Raw genomic sequence first — 27,467 nt, 5'->3', positions numbered from 1 at the left:
GGAAGGAAGGAAGGGAGGAAGGGAGGAAGGGAGGGAGGGAGGGAGGGAACAGACCTAGCAGGCAGAAAATGAGTAGGAACAGAACATAGTGGAATTCAATAGCACCATCAATCAACTTGATATTATTGATATCTATTGACTACTTCATCTAACAACTGTAGAACACACACTCTTTCCAAGCTCACATGAACATTCACCAAGATAGCAAACAGACTTGGTCATAAACACACCACAACAAATTTAAAAGAATAGAAATTACACAGTATCTGCTCTTAGACCACAGTGGAATTAAACTAGAAACCAATAATAAAAAGATATCTGGAAAATCTCAAAATATTGTACTTGTAGATCAAACAACATACTTCTGAATAACACATGGATCAAGGAAGAAATCAAAAGATAAATTTTAAAAATACTTTGAACTAAATGAAAATGAAAGTACAACTTATCAAAATTTGTGGGATTCAGCAAAAGCAGTACTTAGAAGGAAATTTATAGTTTGAATGTATATATTAGAAAATAAGTAAGATTTTAAATCAATAGTCTATGCTTCCACTTTAGGAAAACAGAAAAAGGAGAACAAATTAAATCCAAAGAAAGGAGAAGAGAAGAAAGAATAAAAATTAGAGCCCAAGACAATAAAACTGGAAACAGAAAATCAATAGAAAAAAATCAACAAAACCAAAAGCTGGTTCTTTAAAAAGATCAGTAAAATCAATAAGTGTCTAGAAAAGCTAACCTAGAAAAAGAAAGAAGACATAAATTACTAATATCAGAAATGTAAGAAGGAGCTGGGCACAGTGGCTCATGCCTGTAATCCCAGCAATTCGGGAGGCCAAGGCAGGTGATTCATTTGAGGTCAGGAGTTCAAGACCAGCCTGGCTAGCATGGTGAAACCCCATCTCTACTAAAAATACAAAAATTGGCTGGGCATGGTGAAGCATGCCTATAATCCCAGCTACTCGGGAGGCTGAGGCAGGAGAATCGCTTGAACCAGGGAGGCAGAGGTTGCAGTGAGCCAAGATGGCACCACTGCACTCCAGCCTGGGCAACAGAGGGAGACTCTGTCTCAAAAAAGAAGGCTGGGCATGGTGGCTCACGCCTGTAATCCCAGCACTTTGGGAAGCCAAGGCGGGCGGATCACAAGGTCAGGAGATCGAGACCATGCTGGCTAACATGGTGAAACCCCATCTCTACTAAAAATACAAAAAATTAGCCAGGCGTGGTGGCAAGCGCCTGTAGTCCCAGCTAATCGGGAGGCTGAGGCAGGAGAATGGCATGAACCCGGGAGGCGGAGCTTGCAGTGAGCCGAGATCGCACCACTGCACTCCAGCCTGGGTAACAGAGAGCGACTCTGTCTCAAAAAAAAAAAAAAAAAAATGTAAGAAGAGACATCACAATGATCCCATGGGCATTAAAAACATAATAAAGGAATATTATGAACAACTCTATGCCCATAAATTTAATAACCTAGATGAAATGAGCCAATTCCTTTAAATAAATACTATACCAAAATTCACATAAGGAGAAACAATTTGAATAAGCCTATTATCTATTAATTAAAGAAATTGAATCAATAATTAATAACCTTCCAAAACAGAAAGCACCAGGCCCAGATGGATTTACTGGTGAGTTTTACCAAACATTTAATGAAGAAAATTATACCAATTCTCTCTTCCAGAAGATAGCAGTGGAGGGAACCTAACTCATTCTATGATGCCAGCATTAGCCTAATACCAAAACCAGACAAAAGTGTTACAAGAAGAGAAACTACAAACCAATATCTCTGTGAACATAGATTCAAAAATACTCAACAAAATATTAGCAAATTGAATTCAACAATGTATATAAAGAATTATACACCATGACTGAGCAGATTTAGCCCAGATATGCAAGACTGATTTAACACCCAAAAATCAATTAATGTAACCTATTGCAACATGAGGTTAAATATGAAACATCAGTAATCACATCAATAGATACAGAAAAAGCATTTGACAAAATCCAACAGCCTTTCATGATAAAAAAGAAAAAAATGGGGCTGGGCATGGTGGCTCATATCTGTAATCCCAGGACTTTGGGAGGCCAAGGCTGGTGGACCACCTGAGGTCAGGAGTTTGAGACCAGCCTGGCCAATATGGTGAGACCCCGTCTCTACTAAAAATACAAAATTAGCCAGGTGTGATGGCACACACCTGTAGTCCCAGCTACTCAGGAAGCTGAGACAATAGAATTGCTTGAACCCGGGAGTCAGAGGCTGCAGTGAGCCGAGATCGCACCACTGCACTAAAGCCTGGGAGAGACAGAGCGAGACTCCATCTCAAAAAAATAAATAAATAAATAAAAATTAAAAAAACAACAAACCACTCTTAGCAAGGTAGGAATAGAGCAAAACTTTCCTCAACTTCATAAAGAACATCTACGACTGGGCCCGGTGGCTCATGCCTGTAATCCCAGCACTTTGGGAGGCCAAGGCGGGCAGATCACCTGAGGTCAGGAGTTCGAGACCAGCCTGCTCAACATGAAGAAACCCCGTCTCTATTAAAAATACAAAAAAATTAGCTGGGCATGGTGGCAGGCTCCTGTAATCCCAGCTACTTGGGAGGCTGAGGCAGGAGAATGGCTTGAACACGGGAGGCAGAGGTTGCAGTGAGCCGAGATCGTGCCACTGCACTGCAGTCTGAGCGACAAGAGCAAAACTCCATCTCAAAAAAAAAAAAAAAAATCTTAATAAAACCTACAGCCAACATCCATTAATAGTGAGAAACTAGAAGTTTTCTGATACGATCAATAACAAGTCAAGGATGTCTTCTCTTGCCACTCCTTTTCAACATCATACTGGAAGTCCAAGCTAAGGCAATAAGACAAAAAAAGGAAATAAAATATATTAATTGGGAAGGAAGAATTAACACTGTCTTTGCAGATAACATGATGGTCTATGTAGAAAATCTGAAATATTCAATGACAACAGCAAAAAAACCTCCTGAAACGAATAAACAATTACAGCAAGGTTGCAGAATCCAACATTAATATACAAAAGCCAATCACTTTTTCATATGCCAGCAATGAAAAAGTAGAATTTGAAATTAAAAACACAGTACCATTTATATTAGCTCCTCTAAAAATGCAATACTTAGGTATAAATCTAACAAAATATGTACAAGATCTATGTTTCTTGGGGGGTACTATGCAAACCTACCCCTAAAGTCCAAGGAAGCTGAGAGGCTGAAGAAAGAGGCTGACAAACTCAGATTGAAACTGCCTTTGCAAAATTATGATTGAGACAGTGAAAGACGTCTAAGTTAACCGACTCCATCTTGCTTCTAACCTCCAAGCTGTCCTTCTTTATTCCTGGGTGTAGGCTGAACTAACTTTGAAAGAAACTTAGTTTATAGTTTACAGTTTAAACAAAGACCTCCTTCTTGCCTGGGGACTAGATTGCCTTTGTAGGAGTAATATTAGCCACAAGATTATAAATTATGGTTTAGGAGTCATGCAGCTGGAGGCTACAAGCTTCTGACTCTCCCTAAACTGCTCCTAAGATCAGTGTGCTTGGGATATTTTTCCAACCCTGCACTTGATGGATCAGCTGGCACCACCCTGATCAATAAACTGGCTCATCTGATCTTGTGGCCTCCCACTCAGGAACTGACTCAGTGCAAGAAGACAGCTTTGAGTCCTTATGATTTCATCTCCGACTGATCAGCACTCCTGGCTCACTGGCCTCCCCCTACCCACCAAGTCATCCTTAAAAACTCTGTTCCCCAAATGCTGGGGGAGACTGATTTGAGTAATAACAAAATTCTGGTCTCCCACACAGCCAGCTCTGTGTGAATTACTCTTTTTCTACTGCAATTCCCCTGCCTTTTTTTTGGAGACAGAGTTTTGCTTTGTCACCCAGGCTGGAGTGCAGTGGCATGATCTTGGCTCACCGCAACCTCTGCCTCCCGGGTTCAAGCAATTCTCATGCCTCAGCCTCCTGAGTAGTTGGGACTACAGGCACACACCACCAAACCTGGCTGATTTTTTGTATTTTAGTAGAGAGGGGGTTTCACCATGTTGTCCAGGCTGGTCTTGAACTCCTGAGCTCAGGCAATCTGCCCGCCTGCACCTCCCAAAGTTCTAGGATTACAGGTGTGAGCCACCGTGCCTGGCCAATTCCCCCGTCTTGATGAATCGGCTCTGTCTAGGCAGTGGGCAAGATGAACCCTTTGGGTGGTTACATGTTTCTTAGAAAGAAATAGTTAATAGGGACTTCTGAACAGAAGCCATGACTGTGTCTTGGGTGGCAGTGAGACAAGATGGTGGATCCCTGCAACCTTATCCCTTAGACCCAGCACTTACATACCAAAGAGAAGTGGTGGTTCAGAAGGGATGTGTAGGACAATTGAAGTATGATAACATCAAGGATAGTTGAAATATGATAACAATTTTTTTTTGCTTTTTTGGTTTTTATTGAGACAGAGTTTCGCTCTTGTTGCCCAGGCTGGAGTGCAATGGTGCAATCTCGGCTCACCGAACCTCCACCTCCCAGGTTCAAGCAGTTCTTCTGCCTCAGCCTCCCAAGTAGCTGGGATTACAGGCATGCACCACCATGCCCAGCTAATTTTGTATTTTTAGTAGAGACGGGGTCTCTCCATGTTGAGGCTGGTCTCGAACTCCTGACCTCAGGTGATCCACCTGCCTCGGCCCCCCAAAGTGCTGGGATTACAGGCATGAGCCACCGCACCTGGCCGATGTATGATAACAATTTTATGATAAGTACCGGCTCTTATACAAAAAACAATGGATAAACTGGAAATCTTAGACGGCTTCCTGGAACAGGGGTTAATCAGAAGCCAAAATGGCAGATGAGGATCCAAATGAAGTTGCTTTGGCCTCTGCAATCTGTATAAGGAAAACAATAAAAGAAAAGATGAAAGAACTCGAAGAAGAACTAAATAAATGAAAAGATATTTCATGCTCATGGGCAAGGAGACTCAATATCATCAAGGTGACAGTTCTTCCCACCTGGATCTATAGATTTAATGCAACTTCAGTCAAAGTCCCAGCAAGTTACTTTGTGGATATCGACAAACTGATGTTAAAATGTATGTGAAGGGTCAAAAGACCTAGTAGAGCCAATTCAATATTGAAGAAGAATAGCAAATTTGGAGGATTGACAATACCTTGCTTCAAGACTTACTATAAAGCTAGCTATAGGCTGGGCACAGTGGCTCACACCTGTAATCCCAGCACTTTGGGAGGCTGAGGCAGGCAGATCACTTGGCTCAGGAGTTCAAGACCAGCCTGGGCAACATAGCAAGACTCTGTCTCTAAAAATTTGTTTTAAAAAGGCATATTCCTTACCTCAAAAATTTACATATTCTTGGGAAGACATACACAGATAGTAAAAGAAAAATACATAGCTGGATCATGGATTGTCAAATGATTGATACAGAAAGCAAGTACTATAAAGCTTAAAAGAAATAGAAATATAAGAGAAAGATTTTTTAGAGTTGTAAAGTTCACAAGACTAACAAGAGGTAAAAGTGTTGTAAGAATGACTGGATAAAAGCCGCATGCGGTGGCTCACGCCTGTAATCCAAGCACTCTGGGAGGCCGAGGTGGATGGATCACCTGAGGTCAGGAGTTCGAGACCAGCCTGACCAACATGGAGAAACCCTTTCCCTACTAAAAATACAAAATTAGCCAGGTGTGGTGGCGCCTGCCTGTAATCCCAGCTGCTGGGGAGGCTGAGGCAGGAGAATCGCTTGAACCCGGGAGGCAGAGGTTGCAGTGAGCTGAGATAGCGCCACTGCACTCCAGCCTTGGCAACAAGAGTGAAACTCTGTCAAAAAAAAAAAAAAAAAAAGAAAAGACTGGATTGGGGCTGGGGTGAGAGAACAAAGATTATGAAGACAAGAGAATAATGTGAATGGTTATACAATGAGAAATCGAACAATAGCTAAATAACACTTGGCTGAAGTAAAGATTTCTACGGGACATAAGGTTGGAAAGAGGTGGAAAAGCCCGACTGAAGACCTTAAATGCCGGCCAGAGGCTTCCTTGTGATGCTGATGGTGGCAAATATTATGAGTTATATGATGAAAGTTTTATGACTTTTTGGAGGTATAGAACTTAATTTTGACTGGATTCCCAATATTTTATATTACTTACTGGGATTGGATTTTTTCTTTTTATTTGAGACAGGGTCTCACTCTGTCACCCAGGCTGCAATGCAGTGTCTCACTATGTTGCCCAGGCTGGTCTCAAACTCTTGGGCTCAAGTGATCCTCCTGCTTCAGCCTCCCGAGTAGCTGGCACTACAGGTGTACACCACCACAAATGAATAATTTTTTAATCTTTTGTAGAGACTAGGTCTCGCTGTGTTGCCCAGGCTGGTCTCGAATTTCTGGGCTCAAGTGATCCTCCAGCATCTGCCTCCCAAAGTGCTAGAATTACAGGCATGAGCCACAATGCCCAATCAAGAGTATACTCCGATTATGCTTTTCCTCTTTATTTTTCATTAGAGTCAGTTATGAAATGTATATCAACAGTAGCCTGTGTCTGAGTAGGTCCCTTTTTATAAATAAATAAGCCAAAACATCTTAGCCCAAATGTCTCATTTTAGGGTTTGAAAAATATTGTGGCTGGGCATGGTGACTCACACCTATGATCCCAGAACTTTGGGAGGCCAAGGCTGGAGGATCGCTTGAGCCCACGAGTTTGAGACCAGCCTGAGCAACATAGTGAGACCTCGTCTCTACAAAAATGAAATAAAATGGGCTGGGTGCGGTGGCCCATGCCTGTAATCCCAGCACTTTGGGAGGCTGAGGTGGGCGGATCACCTGAGGTCAGGAGTTTGAGACCAGCCTGGCCAATTTGGTGAAACCCGTCTCTAGTAAAAACAGAAAAAATAGCTGGGCGTGGTGGCAGGCGCCTGTAATCCCAGCTACTGGAGAGGCCGAGGCAGGGGAATCAATTGAACTTGGGAGGCGGAGGTCTCAGTGAGCCAAGATCGTGCCACTGCACTTCAGCCTGGGTGACAGAGCGAGACTCCGTCTAAAATAAAATAAAATAAAATAAATAAAACACTTAGTTTCTGCTTCAAGCCAAGATGAGATAACAGGAACTGGAGGTATTGCCTAGCCTGAAACAACCCAAAAAACAGGGAAGATCTGTGAAAATGTAGTTTTCAAGACACTCTACTTTTTTTTTTTTTTTTTTTGGCGATGGAGTCTCACTCTGTCGCCCAGGCTGGAGCGCAGTGGTACAATCTCGGCTCACTGCAACCTCCGTCTCCTGAGTTCAAGCAATTCTCCTGCCTCCTGCATCAGCGTCCTGAGTAGCTGGGACTACTGGTGCGTGCCACCATGCCCGGCTAATTTTTGTATTTTTAGTAGTGATGGGGTTTCACCATGTTGGCCAGGCTGGTCTCGGACTCCTGACCTCAGGTGATCCGCCCACCTCGGGCTCCCAAAGTGCTGGATTTACAGGCATGAGCCACCGCGCCTGGCCAGACACTCTACATTAAGCAAAGGTGAAAAATGATCCCTGAGAGACAAAAAAAAGAGAGAGATGAGCTCTCTGACCCAGGTTACTGCCTTGAGAAAGCTTCCAGGCCAAGATGCAGGAAAGAAGAACTGAGGCCAAATCTGGCCGACTTCCTGCATTGAAGAAATAGAGCTAAGAGTTTAGGGAGACCGAAGCAGTTAGTGTTCATAGGTCAGAACATCAGACAGGAAAGGGCTGCACAAAGATCCGTGGAGGGTTTCCTTCAGTACTCAGTGGAGTGCTAATCATCACAAGTGTGGAGAGAATCTACACAAGGCCAAGGACGGAACTATCAGAAAAGATTAGAGGTGCCCAGTGTACACAGAGGACAAAGGACACAGTGCCTGTCCCCACCAGGCTGACTGGAAAAACTCATAATTCACAGGGCATTGAGTAGCATGCTCAAAAAGGTCTCAGCTCAGTGGTAGGGAGTCATTAGCTTCTGTCAGAGCACTGCTCCACACCCACCTAACAAATCTTAAAAGCAAGACACGAGAAGATCCAACTGTTTTCAAAAAGCAAAGCCCAAGAAGATTTATAGGAATATAAAAATATCCAGCACCCAGCAAGATAAAGTCACAATGTCTGGCAGCCAACCAAAGATTTCCAGGCATGCGAAGAGGCAGAAAAATATGACCCATAATGAGAGAGTAATCAATCGTAACTGTCCCAGAACTGACACCGATGTTAGCGTTATATCTGTTACATTTAGAATTATGTTTAGATGCTATCAAAATTGCATTTCATGTGTTCAAGAAGTTAAAGTAGAAATATGGGATGTATTTTTAAAATACCCAAATCAAAGTTCTATAGAAGAAATGACAAATTATGAGAAGACAAATACACTGGATGGAATTAAAGGCAGATTAAACATTGCAGAAAAAAGGTTAGTGAATTTGAAGACATAGCAGTGGACACTAAACCAAATGACATACTGTGAGAAAAATCAGAATAACAAAGGATGATAAGAGCCCTAGTTAACTGTAGGACAACTTAGAGCTACTTAGCATATAGATAAAAAGAGTCTCCAAAGGAGGGAGGCCAACTGAAAACTATTTGGAGGAAGAACAGACAAGTTTTCGAAACTTGATTAAAACTATGCACCTACAAATCTAAGAAATCAGACCCAAGATTCATGAAGTAAAGTAAACCAAGCAGGCATGGTGGCTCATTCCTATAATCTCAGCACTTTGGGAGGCCAAGGTGGGAGGATTGCTTGAGGCCAGGAGTTCAAGACCAGCCTGGGCAACATAGCGAGAGCAACTCTGTCTCTACAAAATATAAAAAATTTAAAAATTGGTTGGGTGCAGTGGTTCATGCCTGTAATGCTAGAACTTTGGGAAGCCAAGGCTGGAGGACTGCTTAAGCCTAGGAGTTTGAGATCATCCTGGGCAACATAGTGAGACCTTGTTTCTACAAAAGATAAAATTAGCCAGGTGTGGTGGCACGTGCCTGTGGTCCCAGCTACTTGGGAGGCTGAGGTGGGAGGATCACTTGAGCCTGGGAGGTTGAGGCTGCATCGAGCCCTGATTGTGCCACTGCATTCCAGCATGAGTGACAGAGAAAGACCCTGTCTCAAAGAGAGAGAGAGAGAGAAAGAAAAAAAAAAGAAAAGAAAACCTATGTGATCACCTCAATACATGCAGAAAAACTTTTGACCAAATCCAACACCAATTCCTGATAGTCTCAGTAAACTTGGAATAAAAGGGAATTTCCTCAAACCGATATAGAAAATCCAAAAAACTACATCTAACATTATACTCAGTGGTGAAAAATGAATATTTTCCTCCTAAGATCAGGAACAATACAAGGATGTCTGCTTTCACCAATTCTATTCAGTATTCCACTAGAGGTTCTTGCCAGTGGAATCAAGCCAAGAAAAAGAAATAAAAAGCATCAGATTGGAAAGAAATTAAAACTGTTATTCATAGATGTCATGATATCTATGTAGAAAATGTGATAGATTCTACAAAAGAGCTATTAGAACTAATAAGTGAGTTTAGCAAGTTTGCAGAGCACAAAATCAACATACTCAAATGAATTATATTCTGTTTACCAGCAACAAACAATCAGAAATGGAAATTAAGAACTGCAATTTACAATAGAATTCTAAAAGATGATGAAATACTTAAGGATTAATCTGAGGATGTGAAAGACCTGTATGCTGGTAACTAAAAACATTGCTGAGCTATATTAAAGAAGATATGAATAAATGGTGAAGTATACCTTGTTCATGGGTTAGAAGACTCAATACTGTTAAGATGTCAGTTTCCTCCAAGTTGATCTATCTATTCAAAGTAATTATAATCAAAATCCCAGCTAGTTTTTTTTGTGGAAATTGAGAAGCTATTTAAAAAGTGGGGTGGCAATGCAGAGTTTATAGAGTGGGCAAACAACTCTGCCAAAGGACAAAGGTGGAGGGCTGACACCACCTGATTTCAAGACAAGGCTATGACAGACCAAATAGCTTCATATTAGCAGTAAGATAGACATATATCTGGGATAATATATTAGTTCATTCTCGCATTGCTATAAAATGAAAACTGTTGTTAATTCCTTTAACTATAGTAATTAAGTTAAATATTATAAATACTATCAAGACTGGGGAATTTATTTTTTTATTTTTTATTTTTTTGAGATGGGCAGTGGTGCAATCTTGGCTCACTGCAACCTCCACCTCCTGGGTTCAAGTGATTCTCCTGCCTCAGCCTCCTAACTGGAATTACAGGTGCATGTCACCACACCCAGCTAATTTTTTGTAGAGACAGTCTTGCTATGTTGTCCAGGCTGGTCTCGAACTCCTGACCTCAAGTGATCTGCCCACCTTGGCCTCCCGAAGTGCTGGGATTGCGGGTGTGAGCCACTAAGCCTGGCCAAGACTGGGTAATTTATAAAGAAAAGAGGTTCACTTGGCTCATGGTTCCACAGGCTGTATAGGAAACACAATGATGGCATCTGCTGGGCTTCTAGGGAGGCCTCAGGAAACAACCGTGGCAGAAGGCAAAAGGGGAGCTGGATCTACTCCTTTTTAAAGTGGATCTACTTCTTTTTAAAAATTATTTGTGGGCTGGTTGTGGTGGCTCATGCCTGTAATCCCAGTACTTTGGGAAGCTGAGGTAGGAAAATCGCTTGAGCCCAGGAGTTCAAGACCCCGTCTTATTTTTTTAAGTAAAAATAAATAAATAAATAAATATAAATCATTTGTGTAGAGACAGAGTCTTGCTATGTTGTCCAGGCTGGTCTCAAACTCCCGGCCTCAAGTGATCCTCCTGCCTTGGCCTCCCAAAGTGCTGGGATTACAGGCATGAACCATGGCTGGAGAAGGAACATGTGGGGGACGTGACACACTTTTCAACAACCAGATCTCAGAAGAACTCACTGACTACCAGAACAGCACCAAGAGGGAAATCCGCCCCTATGATCTAATCACTCCCACCAGGCCTCACCCCCTACATTGGGATTACTACTTGACATGAGATTTGGGTGGGGACACAGATCCAAACCATATCAGATGATAAAACAAACAAACAAAAATTGACACATGGATCAATGAAAGAGAGTAGAGATGTCAGAAATAGATCTGGGCCTCTGGGCCAGGTGTAGTGGTTCATGCCTGTAATCCCAGCACTTTGGGAGGCCAAGGCAGGAGATCACTTGAGGCCAGGAGTTTGAGAGCAGTCTAGACAACATGGCAACATAGCAAGACTCTGTCTGTACACAAATTTTATATATATATATATATATATATATATTTTTTTTTTTTTTTTTTTTCTTAAAAAAAGAAGACAGAGTCTTGAACTCCTGGGCTCAAGCGATTCTCTGACCTCAGCTTCCCAAAATGCTGGGATTACAGGCATGAGCCACTGCAACCAGCCCACAAATAATTTTAAGAAGTAGATCCACACATAAATCGACAATAGGTTTTTGGTAAGGGCACAAGGCAAGGCAGCAGAGATAAGATGGCCTTTACAACAGATGTTGCTGGAATAACTGGATATTGATTAGGAATAAAAAAAGAATTTGAATACTTCACAATATACAAAAATTAACTCAAAATTGATTCTAGATCTAATAAATCCTAAAACTATAAAACTTCTAGAAGAAGCAAAGGAGAAAACCCTTGGTGACGTTGGGTTAGGCATTTCTTAGGTACAACACCAAAAGTGGAATCCATAAAATAATAACATCAAAGGAAAACTTGGACTTCATCAAAATTAAAACTTCTGCTCTACAAAAGACACTGCTGAAAGAACAGAAAGACAAGCCACAAGCTGGGGAAGTGTTTTGCAAAGCATCTACCTGATAAAGGATTTGTATCCATCATAAATAAATATCTCGCAAAACTTGACAATAAGAAAACAAACAGCACAATTAAAACTAGGCTAAAGATCTAGGCAGGCAATTCACCAGAAAGATATATGGGTGGCAAGGAGGCACACAAATAGACGCTCAACATCATCGGTTGTTCCATACATGCAAATTAAAGCCACAACAAGATGCCACTGCAGACTCTTTAGATGGCAGAGATTTAAAAAGATGACAAGTAATCCCAATACTTTGGGAGGCCAAGGTGCGAGCATCACTGAGCCCAGGAGTTTGAGGTTACAGTGAACTATGATTGTAGCACTGCACTCCAGCCTGGATGACAAAGCGAAATCCTGTCTCAAAAAAGAAACAGATGACAATACCAATTGCGGGTAAATATTGGAGCAACTGGGACTCTCCTATTCTGCTTGTGAGACTGTAAAGTGACAAAGCCCCTTTAGAAAACCATTAGACAATTTCTTAAAATGTTAAACATACGTCTACCATACAATCCAGGCATTCCATGCCTAAATATTTCCCTAAGATAAAAGAAAGCATATAATTATACAAAAACGTATACACGGATGTTCAGAAAAGTATTTGTAATAGCCCCAAACTGGAAACAACCCAAACGACCAACAGTAGGTGAATGAATAAACAAATTGTGGTATAGCCACACAAAAGCCATAGTATTATGGAACAATAAAAAGGGACCACTGATACTAACAACATAGATGAATCCGAAAATAATTATTCTGAATGCAAGAAGCTAGACAAAAGTAGAATACCTATGGTATGAAGGAATATATATATATATAAAATTTGGCTGTGCGTGGTGGCTCACGTCTGTAATCCTAGCACTTTGGGAGGCCGAGGTGGGCAGATCACTGAAGGTCAGGAGTTCGAGACCAGCCTGGCCAACATGGCAAAACCCTGTCTCTACTAAAAATACAAAAATTAGCTGGGTGTGGTGGTGGGCACCTGTAATTCCAGTTACTCGGGAGGCTGAGGAAGGAGAGGCTGAGGAAGGAGAATCACTTGAACCCGGAGGTGGAGGTTGCAGTGAGCCGAGATCGCGCCACTGCACTCCAGCCTGGGTGACAGAGCAAGATTCCATCTCAATAAAATTAAATATAAAATAAAATAAGATAAAATATAAAACAAAACCAAGGAATTGACAGTGGTATAAAGTAGATCATTGTTGCTTAAGGACTGGTGGCGTAGGGGAAAGGGATTACACAGGGTTGTGAGGAAACCATTGGAGATGATAGACTTGTTCACTGTCTTCAATATGGTAATGTTTCCACAGATGTACACATACATGAACATTTATCAAGTTTTATACTTTAGATATGTGCACTTTGTTGTGTGTCAACTGTATGTCAATACAGCAGGTTCGTTTGTTTTTGTTTTTGTTTTTTACAAAAACCTTAAAATGAGACTATTTTGGGTGTCACTCCAACACCTGTTTCCAGGCCCTGGCAATGCTGCCTCTTTCCTTGTGTCCTTAATGTTGGCTGCCTTCCTACTCTGGCTGATCTCTGATTCACCTCACTATCCAGTTTGGCTTCCCAATTCCTTCATCACTAGTGTAAAAAAGTACCCCTGGCTGGGTGTGGTGGCTCACACTTCTAATCCCAGCACTTTGGGAGGCCAAGGTGGGCAAATCACTTGAGCTCAGGAGTTTGAGACCACCCTGGGCAACATGGAAAAACCCTGTCTCTACAAAAAAATACAAAAATTAGCTGGGCACAGTGGCTCACACCTGTGGTCCCAGCTGCTTGAGAGGCTGAGGTGGAAGTGGCACTTGAGCCTGGGAGGTGGAGGTTACAGTGAACCAAGATGGCACCACTGCACTCCAGCCTGGGTGACAGAGCAAGACTCTGTCTCAAAAAAAAAAAAAAAAAAAAAAAAAACCGTGAATTAAAATCCCTCTGTCCTGAATATTTGAGGTTGCTTCTATTTACCTGATAGATCCTGTCTGATATATTTGGTAACCACACAGTAATAATTTATCCAGGCCAGTAGATGAATCTCTGTGTGACCTTGGATGGATGTCATAAGGCTACCTGTTTTCTCCTTCTAGTCTCCTAAGTACCTGAAATCCCCACTTCTTCTTCTTCTTTTTTTTTTTAAGACAGGATCTAGCTCTGTTGTCCAGGCTGGAGTGCAATGGCTCAATCATGGCTAACTAAAGCCTTGACCTCCTGAGCTCAATTTACCCTTGCCTTGGCTTCCCAAGTACCTGGAACTACAGGTGTACACCACCACATCTAACTAATTTTTTTTTAATTTTTCTTTTTTAGAGACAAGCTCTTGCTATGTTGACCAGACTTGTCTTGAACTCCTGGCCTCAAGCCATCCTCCTGCCTCAGCCTCCCAAAGTGGTGGAATTACAGGAGTGAGCCACCACACCTGGCCCCACAGTCTTAATGTCATGCTTTGTTGGCTTTCTAGAGAAATAGATATCTATTTAGGGGAAGATTTTAGTAGTTGTCTTAGCCCACTTGTGTTGCTATAACAAAATATCACAGACTAGGTAATTTATAAAGAACAGAAATTTATTTCTAACAGGAGGCTGGTGATATGGTTTGGCTGTGTCCCCACCCAAATCTCATCTTGAATTCCCATGTGTTGTGGGAGGGACCCTGTAGGAGGTAACTGAATCATGGTGGCAAGTCTTTCCCATGCTGTTCTCATGATAGTGAGTAAGTCTCATGAGATCTGATGGTTTTAAAAAGAGGAGTTCCCCTGCACGAGCTCTCTCTATTTGTCTACTGCCATCCACGTAAGACGTGACTTGCTTCTCCTTGCCTTCTGCCATGACTGTGAGGCTTCCCCAGCCACTGGGAACTATAAGTCCCTTAAACCTCTTTCTTTTGTAAATTGCCCAGTCTAGGTTATACCTTTATCAGTAGTGTAAAAATGGACTAATACAGCTGGGAAGTTCAAGATCAAAGTGCCACCAGGGTTGGCTGTCTGATGAAGATCAGATCTCTGCTCCCAAGATGGCACCTTAAACACTATGTCCTCACATGGCGGAAGGTTGAAGGCCAAAAGAGCTCAAACTCCCTTCAGTCAAGCCCTTTTATAATGGAATGAATCTATTAATGAGGGCAGAGCCCTCATGACCTCCCTAAACATTCCAATTCCTAAGATTGTTGCATTGGGAATTACATTTTTAATATAGGAATTTGGGGGATACATTCAGACCACAGCAGTGGTTAAAAAGGACAGTGTGCAGCCAATAGGGGACTAAATATCTAGAGAGTGAGGGTGAGATGACATCAGGAAAGGGATCCTAGTAGGACAAAAAGGTTCCAAAAAGATGTGGAGAATTTGAAGATCAAGTTTACCTCTTTTACAACTGTGCTTAGGACCATCTACTAATTCATACAGGAGCACTCAGATTCATAAAACAAGTTCTTAGAGACCTACAAAGAGACTTAGACTCCCACACAATAATATTGGGAGACTTTAACACCCAACTATCAATATTAGATAGATCATCAAGACAGAAAATTAACAAAGGTATTCAGGACATGAACTCAGCTCTGGATCAAGTGGACCTGATAGATATCTACAGAACTCTCCACCCAAAAACAATAGAATATACATTCTCCTTGGTGCCATATGGCACTTACTCTAAAATTGATCACATAATTGGAAGTAAATCACTCCTCAGCAAATGCAAAATAACTGAAATCATAACAAACAGTCTCTCAGACCACAGCACAATCAAATTAGAACTCAAGATTAAGAAACTCACTCAAAACCACACAACTACATGGAAATTGAACAACCTGCTCCTGAATGATTCTTGGGTAAATAATGAAATTAAGATAGAAATCAAGAAGTTCTTTGAAACCAATGAGAACAAAGAGACAATGTACCAGAAACCCTGGGATGCAGCTAAAGCTGTGTTAAGAGGGAAATTTATAGCACTAAATGCCCACATCAAATTGACCCCTTAACATCACAACTAAAAGAACCAGAGAACCAAGAGCAAACAAATGCCAAAGCTAGCAGAAGACAAGAAATAACCAAAAATATTTTTAAAATTCTTTGCATATTGTCAAAAGACAAACTCATAATGAATTTAGTTAAAGATCTCAGTTGGCTTTATTGTGATTGTAGAATTGGGCAACAGTTCATTCCATAAAATAGAATAAGTATTCCAATGAGTTGAGCAAAGGGAATTGTCTTTATAAACAGAAAGGGCTGAATAAATCAGAAACAAAGAACAAAAAGCAGACTGGTCATTTTAAAGTTACTTTCCTTGTGGCCAGGTGCAGTGGCTCGTGCCTGTAATCCTAGCACTTTGGGAGGTGAAGTTGGGTGGAACACCTGAGATCAGGAGTTTGAGACCAGCCTGGCCAACATGGCAAAACCCCATCTCTTCTAAAAATACAAAATTAGCCGGGTGTGGTGGCAGCACCTATAATCCCTGTTATTCAGGAGGCTGAGGCAGGAGAATTGGTTGAACCTAAGGGGCAGAGGTTGCAGTGAGCCGAGGTCATGCCATTTCGCTCCAGCCTGGGCAAAAGAGCGAAACTCCATCTCAAAAAAAAAAAATTAAATAAAATAAAGTTACTTTCCTTGTAAGGTGGTGATATAGTTTGAATATACATCCCCGCCACATCTCATGTTGAACTGTAATCCCCATGTTGGAGGTGGGACCTGGTGGAAGGTATTTAGGTCACTGGGGCAGATCCCTCACGTCTCGGTGCTATTCTCACACTGGCGAGTGAGGTCTCGGGAGATCTGGTTTGTGAAGTCTGTGGCACCTCTTGCTGCACTCATTCTTGCTCCTGCTTTCCTCATGTTAAGTGCCTTCTCCTGCTTCACCTTCTACCATGAGTAAAAGCTCCCTGAGGCCTCCCCAGAAGCCAAGCAGATGCTGGTGCCACGCTTGTAAAGCTGGAAGAACCTCTTTTCTTATAAATTACCCAGTCTCAGGTATTTCTTTATAGTAATGCAAGAATGGCCTAATACAGGCAAGGACAGGGAGACAGAACAACTGAAAGATAACTGACTGGTTCTCATGTTTCTTGTATAGCCCGCAGAACTGAGCCAAATAAACCTTTTTTCTTCATAACTTACCCAGCCTCAGGCATTCCTTTATAGAAACACAAACAGACTAACGCAGTATTTTGTGAAAAAGCCTGCTGATTCAGCTCACAGCTGAACCAGATGACTGTTTTCTTTAAGATAACCATTGTACTTGGATTTGCAGCAGAAGTGCTTTCTGCATTCTTCCTATTTTGTCACACAGAATATTAGAAAGATATGTACTCAAAGATTAAGTTTTAATGAAATCAATCATTTTTATTGCTCTATCAAAAACTTTTTTTTTTTATTTTTTATTTGAGACAGAGCCTCACTCTTGTTGCCCAGGCTGGAGTGCAGTGGCGCAATCTTGGCTCACTGCCATCTCCCCCTCCTGGGTTCAAGCAATTCTAGTGCCTCAGCCTCCATAGTAGCTGGGATTACAGGCATGCACCACCATGCCCGGCTAATTTTTGTATTTTTATTAGAGACGTGTTTTCTCCATGTTGTCCAGGCTGGTCTCGAACTCCTGACCTCAGGTGATCTGCCCACCTCGGCCTCCCAAAGTGCTGGGATTACAGGTGTGAGCCACCACCCCTGGCCTCATCAAGAACATTCTTAAGCCAAATTGGTGTGGTTTTTTTTTTTGTTTTGTTTTGTTTTAAAGGGGCTGTAAGTACACGGTAGTAGAGACTATGATTATTCGTACTGTTTGAAGCCACAGCCTTGATTCTTGCTATAGCCCACCATTTACATATCATTTAATTTATTTTGCCATTTTATCAATTTTACCATTTTACCCACCATTGTTTTTAACTGTGCAAATGTTAGCACAGTTAAAAAGACAAAGAATATCATGGTATACTATGAAAATAGCTTTGACCTCACAGGCCCCTTGCAGAAAGGTCCTCTGGCCTAGCTGCAAGAACACTGATACTCAAACTGGGGTCTGGGGATCCCTGGGGGAGAATCATTGTTCTCCGGGCTAAGCCAGAGTGCCCGGTAAACATAATTGCTCCAGAAAATGGCATAAAGGGCTGTCTTGTTCTTATCAGTGCATCTCCTCTGATAGGAGGCTATTTTGATTGCTCATTGAGAATCTCTACTGTTTCCAGAAATATTCATCTCCTCCCTTCCTCCCCTGCTCCATAACCTTCATCCAGAATTCATGTCAGAGCTCTGGGTTGAAGGACTAGGGAGAGGCTACTGCTGGTATCCTGAGATGAAGTCACTGAGCCCTGAAAGCCATAAAATAACTGCTAAGTTTTTCCTCTCTGCCCTACTCTCTGCTGGCCTGTCAAGCAATCTTCCCAAATTTTGGAAGATCTGAAATCCAGTCTCAGGAGTCTGATAAGATGCTGCAGGCAGACACTGATGAGTTTTTTATCTGCATAAAATAAACTCTATTTTTAAAATATATACATATATATTTTTTGCCTGTGATACAGCCCTCAGGAGGTCCTGGGAACATGTGCCCCATGTTTTTAAGAGTTTAGCCTGACAAATATCCACTGACAGGAGCCTTAGAACCGGTCATGGGTTTGGTGTGATGAAGACAGGAGCAATCAGCTGTGAGGTCCAGAAGAGAATGAGTGAGCCAGGAGTGGTGGCTCATGCCTGTAATCCCAGCACTTTGGGAGGCTGAGGTGGGTGGATCACCTGAGGTCAGGAGTTCGAGACCAGCCTGGCCAACATGGTGAAACCTTGTCTCTACTAAAAATACAAAAATTAGCCAGGCATGATGGTGTGCACCTGTAATCTCAGCTACTTGGGAGGCTGAGTCACAAGAATCACCTGAACCCGGGAGACTGAGGTTGCAGTGAGCCGAGATCGTGCCACTGCACTCCAGCCTGGGTGACAAGAGCGAAACTCTGTCTCAAAAAAAAAAAAAAAAAAAAAAAAAAGAAGAAGAAGCAGAAGAGAATGAGTGGATGGGAAATGTAAGAATAAGCACAGAGCATGCACAGGATGCATTAGCAAAACATCAAAGAGAGATTAGAGAGGGCTAACAGTCTAACACACAAATACATTTTGAAGCTAGTCATGGTTTGAACATGTCTTAATCTAGGATAAAAGAGTGACAGAAAAAGAAGTGATGGAATGAGTGAAAGTACTTTGAAAAATACACAAGTGGATGACAACAAGAGGAAGAAAATAACAATCACAACAGCAACGTAGCAGTAAATATGGGCCATCTACTTCACTCAATTCAGATATACTGAATGTATTTCATATTGTATTGTTTCTCACTTAGTCTTTAAAACTAATCTATGAGATGTATGGTCCAAAAGACCACCAGGATGGCTTAACAGTAGAAAGGAGAGCTTTGTGATATCGGTTTGCAAACCAGGAAGAGACAGTTTTGGCATGTAATAAAGGTGCTTTCTCTTCAAAGAGGGAAAGGGCAGGATGGTTTTTGTGCCTCACAGGGTCTGTATTACACAATAGTCATATATATTCAGGTTTTGGAGGAAAGCTGTACATATTTATGAGGGGAGCCAAATGCATGCACAATGGCTACACATATATGTAATATCCATCCCATGTTCACTTTGGGGAAGGGTTTTGGCTTTAAACTGAGATGGAATTTGGCTCTTTACGTTAAAGGTGACCTACAGGACACAGAGATAATTTGTGTGTGCAGTCTCTACAATTTGCTGAAACTGGCTTGAGGTTGGCAGTTACTTATCAGGAAAGTGTTTCTAAGGCCAGGTCTCTGTCCAATCAGGGCTGTAGTGGTCTGGATTGTACATCAGACTTAGGAAGTGTCTGACAATTTGCCTGATAATTCCTACTGTTAGGGAGTTTAGCAAGAGTGTGGTTTTTCTTGTAGCCACAGGAATTTAGGAAATTGCCATGCCAGCTGAGCCCTGAACCCTTCATTCGTTGGTAACTTTTGTTTCTGTAACCTAAAGGTTTGTCTTAGTTGATAAAGGGATGCCAACTTGGCTCTCCCAGATCACAGATGTTATCATCATCTTATGGCTGGGGAACCTGAGGCTCAGAGAGTTTAATTAATTTGTCCAAGGTCACAGAGCCAAGAAGGGAGAATGCTGGATTCGAACCCAAGTATATCTGACATTCTATATTCTAGCCTTTTCCCTCATTCTGATATTTTCTCTGAAAACCCCTGGGTTTATCCTGGCACTTTCATGTGTGTAAGTCATTTGTGCACAAGCCAAGGTTTGTTTCCTGGGTAGGCGCTGCAATACCTACTTGGTATTTGAGGTCAGTACATTATAGGAATAAATTGTGCTGTGTCTAGGCTTTTAAGTATCTAAATGATTGAGAGTTCATCTTCAAAGGAGAAAATAGCCTTATAAAACAGGATTACAAAGGCAAGGCTTAGTGTCTTAGAATCCCTAAGCCTCGCAACCCGAAGAGCAGAAGAGAAAAAATGTCTCCAGCTACAAGAGAACTAACGAGCTTTAAATGAAAGAGCTAGAGTCACATTTTCCCCTGAACTCCCATAGATACATGAATACAAATCTGTCTTTTCTCTTGCAAAAAAAAACTTTTTTTTTAAGGAAAGAGCTGTCATTTTGCTAAGCAACACCAGAAGCTGATTATCTGGTGCCTGTTCTGGGTAAAAGGTAGAAAAGCCAAATGATGAAAAGATGCCACCTCATTTAACAACTAAAATATTACACACAGTCGAGTAACTACCAAATAGGGTCCATTTAAACACCAACCTTAGTCCAATATCTTTTTTTTTTTTTTTTTTTTGGAGTTGGAGTCTCGCTCTGTTGCCCAGGCTGAAGTGCAGTTGTGCGATCTTGGCTCACTGCAACCTCCGCCTCCCGGGTTCAAGTAATTATCTGCCTCAGCCTCCTGAGTAGCTGGGATTACAGGTGCCCACCACCACGCCCGGCTAATTTTTGTATTTTAGTAGAGACAGGGTTTCACCATGTTGGCCAGGCTGGTCTTGAACTCCTGACCTCGTCATCCACCTGCCCTGGCCTCCCAAAGTGCTGGGATTACAGGTGTGAGCCACCGCGCCTGGCTGTCCAACATCTTAATGTAACATCTCCTTGTGTAAGCAGTCACCTCATGCACAGTGGGTGTCCAATAATCCTACAAACTCAGAGCTAGAACGACTTTTACCACCACTTATCATAGCTGTGTGCAGATACAGATAAGGGAGACCAGGAGGGGAAGAGTTTGCCCAAGGTCACACAGTTCTCTCCTGCAGAGCTGAAACAAATCCCAGGTCTGTGGGGGATGAGAGGTAACAACCCTGGCCTGTGAAGTGAGGCTGCCTCAGTTCAAGGCTGGAGTCCTGTGACAATCCCAAGAAAGGATGAGCCATGAGGCATGTGGTGTGCTTGCCCTAAATTCACTACTGTTAGTACCATTATTACTGTTAGATAATTTGTTGTTGTTGTTTTTTTTTTAGAGACGGAGTCTTGCTCTGTTGCCCAGGCTCAAGTGCCATGGCATGGTCATAGCTCACTGCAGCCTTGAACTCCTGGACTCAAGTGATCCTTCTGCCTCAGCCTCCCGAGTAGCTGGCACTACATGCACACACCACTGCACCTGGCTTATTTATTTATTTATGAGATGGAGTTTTACTCTGTCGCCCAGGCTGGAGTACAGTGGCACAATCTTGGCTCACTGCAACCTCCACCTTCCAGGTTCAAGCGATTCTCCTGCCTCAGCCTCCCCTGTAGCTGGGATTACAGGTGCCCACCACCACGCCCGGCTAATTTTTGTATTTTTAGTAGAGACAGGGTTTCACCATGTTGGCCAGGCTGGTCTTGAACTCCTGACCTCGAGTGATCCACCCGCCTTGGCCTCCCAAAGTGCTGGGATTACAGGCGTAAGCCACCACACCTGGCCCTGGCTAATTTATTTTATTTCTTGTAGATATGGGGTTCTTGCTTTGTTGCCCAGGCTGATCTTGAACTCTTGGCTTCAAATGATCCTCCTGCCTAGACCTCCCAAAATGCTGGGATTATAGGCACGAGCCACTGAACCCAGTCTATTAGATAAAATTTACGGGAGGCTATTGGTTTAGACTGAGCTCCTGCACTTGGCTCAACAGACCAAACTAAAATGGAGCCATTCATGCTGAAGTTCCACACCACCAAGCCAAACCTAAGTTGTTTATCTGATCTTCCAAGAAATCAGGAGAGACAGAGATAATAACCTAACCAATAACTAAAAGGCCAGTTTTAGCGGGCATTGAGACGGAAATAATACAGGGTGGTCATAGGAGAATAGAATATTCTAGGCGGCAGTTTCACATGAGCAGCCAAAGGAAACTGTAAATAGCTACAGAAGCTATGGGCTGATAAGACCCTGAAAAAACCAGGGTGTGGGCCAAGCTGGCTAAGACTGACTGGACCCAACATGGCACTGGAGTGACCTAGGTTTCACCTGGGACCTCATTATACACTCATTAACATACCAAACACACACCCCCCAGCGCCATGACAGTTCTGGGAACATCCATATTTGGTGTAAAAATGAGTGGCACCACAGTTCCGAGAAACCTCCACCTTTTTCCAGGAATTCTCATGAATATTCAGCCCCTTGATTAAAAAAACCCATAAAGGTAGCACCCCCAAACCCCCTTGTGTGTGACTCTCTAGTGAGTACACATACATTCCCTTTTCTTGAGTGTATACTTTTCACTCTGCAATAAATCTCCCTGTTTTCACTATTTCCTCACTCATTCTTTTTTTTTTTTTTTTGAGACAGAGTCTCGCTCTGTTGCCAGGCTAGTGTGCAGTGGGGTGATCTCGGCTCACTGCAACCTCTGCCTCCTGGGTTCAAGCGATTCTCCTGCCTCAGCCTCCCGAGTAGCTGGGATTACAGGCATGCGCCACCACGCCCGGCTAATTTTTGTATTTTTAGAAGAGATGGGTTTTCACCATGTTGGCCAGGATGGTCTCTATCTCTTGATCTGCCTGCCTTGGCCTCCCAAAGTGCTGGGATTATAGGCATGAGCCACCGCGCCCAGCCTCCTCATTCATCCTTGAATTCCTTATTGAGAGGGTGTCAAGAGCCTGGACACCGGCCACGGTCAAGGTCCCACTGGTATTTGGAGACCTCCTCTGGCCCACCGGTATCAACATGATAAGGAAGCCCCCTCTGCTTTAACCTGTCTACCTAAAAGGAAGAGGCTGAGGCAAAATTAATGTAAATAGTTTATTTGGGCCAAGCTTGAGATTGCTTCCCGAGAGCATAGATTCAAGCTGCCCAGTGAATATTCACTGGGACTAGTAACAATTACAAGTAGGGTTTTAAAATTTTGTTTTGTTTAGAGATGGGGTCTCACCGTCGCCTAGGCTGGAGTGCAGTGGTGTAATCATGGCTCACCACAGCCTTCAATTCCTGGGCTCCAGCAATCCTCCTGCCTCCGCCTCCCAAGTACTTGGGAATGCAGGGACCTACTACCTTGAGGTTTTTAAAGGAAAAGAAGAGGCAGTTCCTAAATTGTTTACCAAGATTTCACATTAAAATAATATAAGCTATTGATTGGCTATACATTATTCTTTGTATCACAAATTCCAGGAACAGGAAGACACTGGGTGAGGCAGCTAGTCAGGAACAAAATTACCTTAAACAATTGACCCCAGGTATGGGGCAGGGGAGGGCTGGAGGCAGGCATGACTGAAGTCTCACACTCCTGTCTCTCTGGTCCCGAGTACTTTACAGAGCTCAGAATGCTTGGAGCTATTTTTCTTCTCTCAAAGCTGTAGGAGGAAAATAACTTTGAAAGGACCAATCTGCTTTTTGTTCTCAGCTTCTACTAATACTTTCCTCAGCCTTTTTCTGTCTACCAAGCCAACCGCCTCTGCTCAGCTCAACAGAACTCTCATTCTGTCCCAGCCTGGTGGCTCACGCCTATAATCCCAGCACTTTGGGAGGCCGAGGCGGGAGGATGACCTGAGGTCAGGAGTGCGAGACCAGCCTGGCAAACTTGGTGAAAACCTGTCTCTACTAAAAATACAAAAAATAAAATAAAAAATTAGCTGGGTGTGGTGGCACACACCTGAGGACTAAGACCTGATTTTTTGTTTTAATCTTGCCCAAATTCCTATCTAAGGGATATGCCCTACAAACCATAAATTCTCATCACATGGGTTTTATTTGACCCTATATATCATGACTTACTTTCCAATCTGACCCTGGCATAACAAGGAAGAAAATCAAAATATTTTACCCCAAAACGTGTTTCTCTGCCACATCTTGAAATAGCCCTGCAAAGCCATCCCTTGTGGGAAAAATCCACATCTACAGAGAATCCTCTTTCCCCCTTTTCTTCATTGTTCTTTTTTGTTTTTGTTTTTTTGAGACAGGGTCTCACTCTGTCGCCAGGCTAGAGTGCAGTGGCACGGCTCACTGCAACCTCTGCCTCCTGGGTTCAAGCAATCCTCCTGCCTCAGCCTCCTGAGTAGCTGGGACTACAGGTGTGCACCAACTCACCCGGCTAGTTTTTGTATTTTTAGTAGAGACATGGTTTCGCCATGTTGGCCAGGCTGGTCTTGAACTCCTGACCTCAGGCGATCTGCCTGCCTCAATCTTCCAAAATGCTGGGAATACAGGCGTGAGCCACCGCGCCTGCCACCACCCTCCCCCACCACTGCCCTTTTTTTTTCCTTCCTTCCTTTCCAGATCCAGGAGATAATCAACTAAGAGCCAGACACCCTTTGAGGTCCGATAAGAAACATTTTACAACCTGCTGTCTCTGAAGTCTGCTATCGGAGAACTTCCTCTACACAATAAAACTTGGTCTCCACAATCCTTTATCTTAACCTGAACATTTCCTTTCTCTTGATTCCAGGATAAATTCAACCAATTGTCAACCAGAAAATGTTTAAATTTACCTATAGCCTGGAAGCACCCCCACCCCCGCCACCCCGCTTTGAGTTGTCCCGCCTTTCTGAACCAAACCAATGTATTTCTTAAATGTATTTGATTGATGTCTCATACCTCCCTAAAATATATAAAACCAAGCTGTACTCTGATCACCTTGGGCACATGTCACGCAACATGGCCACTCATATTTGGCCGTCTCATATTTAAGAGAATAAATCTCTTAAAATATTTTACAGAGTTTGACTCTTTTGGGCAACACGCCTGTAGTCCCAGCTACTGGGGCAGCTGAGGCAGGAGAGAATCGCTTTGAACCCGGGAGATGGAGTTGCAGTGAGCCAAGATCCCATCACTACAGTCCAGCCTGGGTGACAGAGCAAACTCCCTCTCAAAAAAAATTTTGAGTACACCATGGTGCCTGCCTGTAGTCCCAGCTCCTTGGGAGGCTGAGGCAGGAGGATCACTTGAGCCCAGGAGTTTGAATCTAGTCTGGGCAATATGGCAAGACCCTGTCTCTAAAAAAAAAGGAAAGAAAAGAAAATCAACTATTTACTGGGCTAACACAGGAGACATTTCTGGGCCTTGTTTTTATTTTTATTTTATTTTGGGGGTACCTTCTTTTTAGACACCAGCCAAAATCAGTAGGAAGCTGTAGGCAACCAACACTTGGGATTGCAATATTTTACCACAATTCAAACTTGAAATGGGTTCATTCAGGGATTCTTCCATTTTGATAGGGCACTCAGTGAGAGAAGGACTGGAGAAAAGGTGGGCGCCTTCCACAGAGGTTCACGTGTTGCAGCTTCATTGGGCAGCACATGGACGGCAGCTTGGAAGTAGGTCTTTGAGTTTGCACCTGCGGACCGAGCAAGGTACCAGATTTCCGAAAGCAGCTTCTGTTTACTCCAGGATCCTACAAGTCACTGGTGTAATTTCTAACATAGCCTGTAGGTATGAGGCTACAGAAAGACTCATGAAGGAGGAGAGCCCCCTGTTTGCAAAAGTCCAGGCCTATCTTTGGAAAATCAAGGCTGTGCAGGGTGAGGGCGCAAATGCTACATTTAGAGGCTGTAACCGGGGATGTGGGAGGACCCAGGGAGGGGCGCGGCGACGGCTGGCTGGGCCAAGAAGAGCGCGCCCAGCAGCCCGGCAGGCACCTCAGGGTGTTTTGGAGGCCCACGTGTCCCGCCTCATTGGCCGTCGGGGAGCTCCAGCCCCAAGGAGGCGGAGCCGCCACCGCAGTTGCTGTTCACGAGTTTCCCCAACTGGCTCCCCAGTCAGTCTGTAGGGCCCTACCTTACGGTCGTCCGGGATCAGAACTCCCAGAAGGCTTCGCGCTCGGGGGCGTGGCACTGCAGGGTGGGCGTTGCAGAGACGCAAATGAAGTCGCCGCGCCTGGCATCTGCCTGCCCTCGGTGGGCTTCCAGGGGGCGGGGTAAAGCTTTCTCACCGCCCGACGGGTTCCTCCTCCTCTGACCTCTGGACTCTCTCACCGCCCCGAAGGTCACCTCGGACCACTGCTCGACGGGCAGCATGTTCCAGAGTGGCTGGGGAGTCGCAGGGCTGGGTACTGGGTTGCGTTGAAGCTGCTGCTCCTCCGGGCTGCCTGGGCAGCCTGTTTGGCGCCCAGGAAGTTACAGTGCTAAGAGGGGAACCACGGGGCAACCCCGGGGGTCCCCACCCAGGACCCCCAAGCCCAAACCAGCACCACGGGGCGGAAGCCGATTGTAATTGGGAAAAAGCAGAGCCGCTAAGGTGCTTTAATTTTGGCTAAGAAGATGGCAGGAAAGACTACAGCCAAATCAATGGGATGAATGTCTGTGGATTATGCTGCGGCGTTTAAATCTGTCCTCCATAATTCTTTGTCTGTCTTTCATAAAGCTTTGATCATTTTATCCCTTAAGTTACCTTCTGGGAGAATTCCTTGGCTTCGTATTTATTCCAGCTCTCTGGTTTGCTTTTCAGCAGTGCCCGCTCTGCTGTTTTGCCCACCTCTTGAGGGTTTCTTTTTCTTTCAGTAGCTGTTTGTGTGTCCAAGATCTCTAGTTAATTCTTCTTCTTATTATTATTCTTATTTTTAGATGGAGTCTTGCTCTGTTGCCCAGGCTGGAATGCAGTGGTGAGATCTCGGCTCACTGCAACCTCCACCTCCTGGGTTCAAGCGATTCTCCTGCCTCAACCTCCAGAGTAGCTGGGATTACAGGCACGCGTCATCACACCTGGCTACTTTTTGTGTTTTTAGTAGAGACAGGGTTTCACCGTGTTAGCCAGGCTGGTCTCGAACTCCTGACCTCAGGTGAGGCCTGCTTCAGCCTCCCACAGTGCTGGGATTACAGGCATGAGCCACCTGGCCCAGCCTGGCTTTCTTTTCATAACTGCCTGCTCTCATTTCATGCTGTGATATTCTTGCTTATCCCTATACATATTTTAGTTACACTGATTTTCACTCTTTTAAACTGTTTTTTCCAAGTGCAGGTTCTCCTTTCGAAAAAAAATGAGGCCGGGTGTGGTGGCTCACACCTGTAATCCCAGCACTTTGGGAGGCCGAGGCCGGCAGATCACCTGAGGTCGGGAGTTCGAGACCAGCATGACCAACACGGAGAAACCCCATCTCTACTAAAAATACAAAATTAGCTGGGCGTGGTGGTGCATGCCTGTAATCCCAGCTACTCAGGAGGCTAAGCCAGGATAATTGCTTGAACCTGGGAGGCGGAGGTTGCGGTGAGCCAAGACAGTGCCATTGCACTTCAGCC

At 43.5% G+C, this 27,467-nt stretch overlaps 1 protein-coding gene across 1 annotated transcript in view, besides 1 other annotated feature; it reads right to left on the bottom strand.

The window, feature by feature from the left end:
- The window catches only part of EDARADD (EDAR associated via death domain), a 136,672-nt gene extending 110,636 nt beyond the window's left edge, over nucleotides 1-26,036 (bottom strand). Inside the window, exons 1-3 of the mRNA NM_001422628.1 lie at nucleotides 26,011-26,036; nucleotides 25,329-25,570; nucleotides 23,456-23,591 (exon numbers count right to left, since the gene is read on the bottom strand). The gene's annotated coding sequence lies outside the window, so the exon portion shown is untranslated. The remainder of the gene's footprint in view (nucleotides 1-23,455; nucleotides 23,592-25,328; nucleotides 25,571-26,010) is intronic.
- Nucleotides 8,074-8,854: an enhancer, noted in NCBI's record as "NANOG-H3K4me1 hESC enhancer chr1:236528741-236529521 (GRCh37/hg19 assembly coordinates)". NCBI's record gives its function as "activates a minimal SCP1, AML or CMV promoter by ChIP-STARR-seq in primed H9 embryonic stem cells {active_cell/tissue: H9 hESC(primed)}" and the evidence as "EXISTENCE:reporter gene assay evidence [ECO:0000049][PMID:30033119]".
- Nucleotides 26,037-27,467: the final 1,431 nt, after the last annotated feature.

This window comes from Homo sapiens, chromosome 1 (assembly GCF_000001405.40).
Source record: "Homo sapiens chromosome 1, GRCh38.p14 Primary Assembly".
Taxonomy (NCBI): domain Eukaryota; kingdom Metazoa; phylum Chordata; class Mammalia; order Primates; family Hominidae; genus Homo; species Homo sapiens.
Note: the sequence above shows the minus strand (reverse complement) of the source record. Positions and strands in the feature narration are given on the sequence as shown.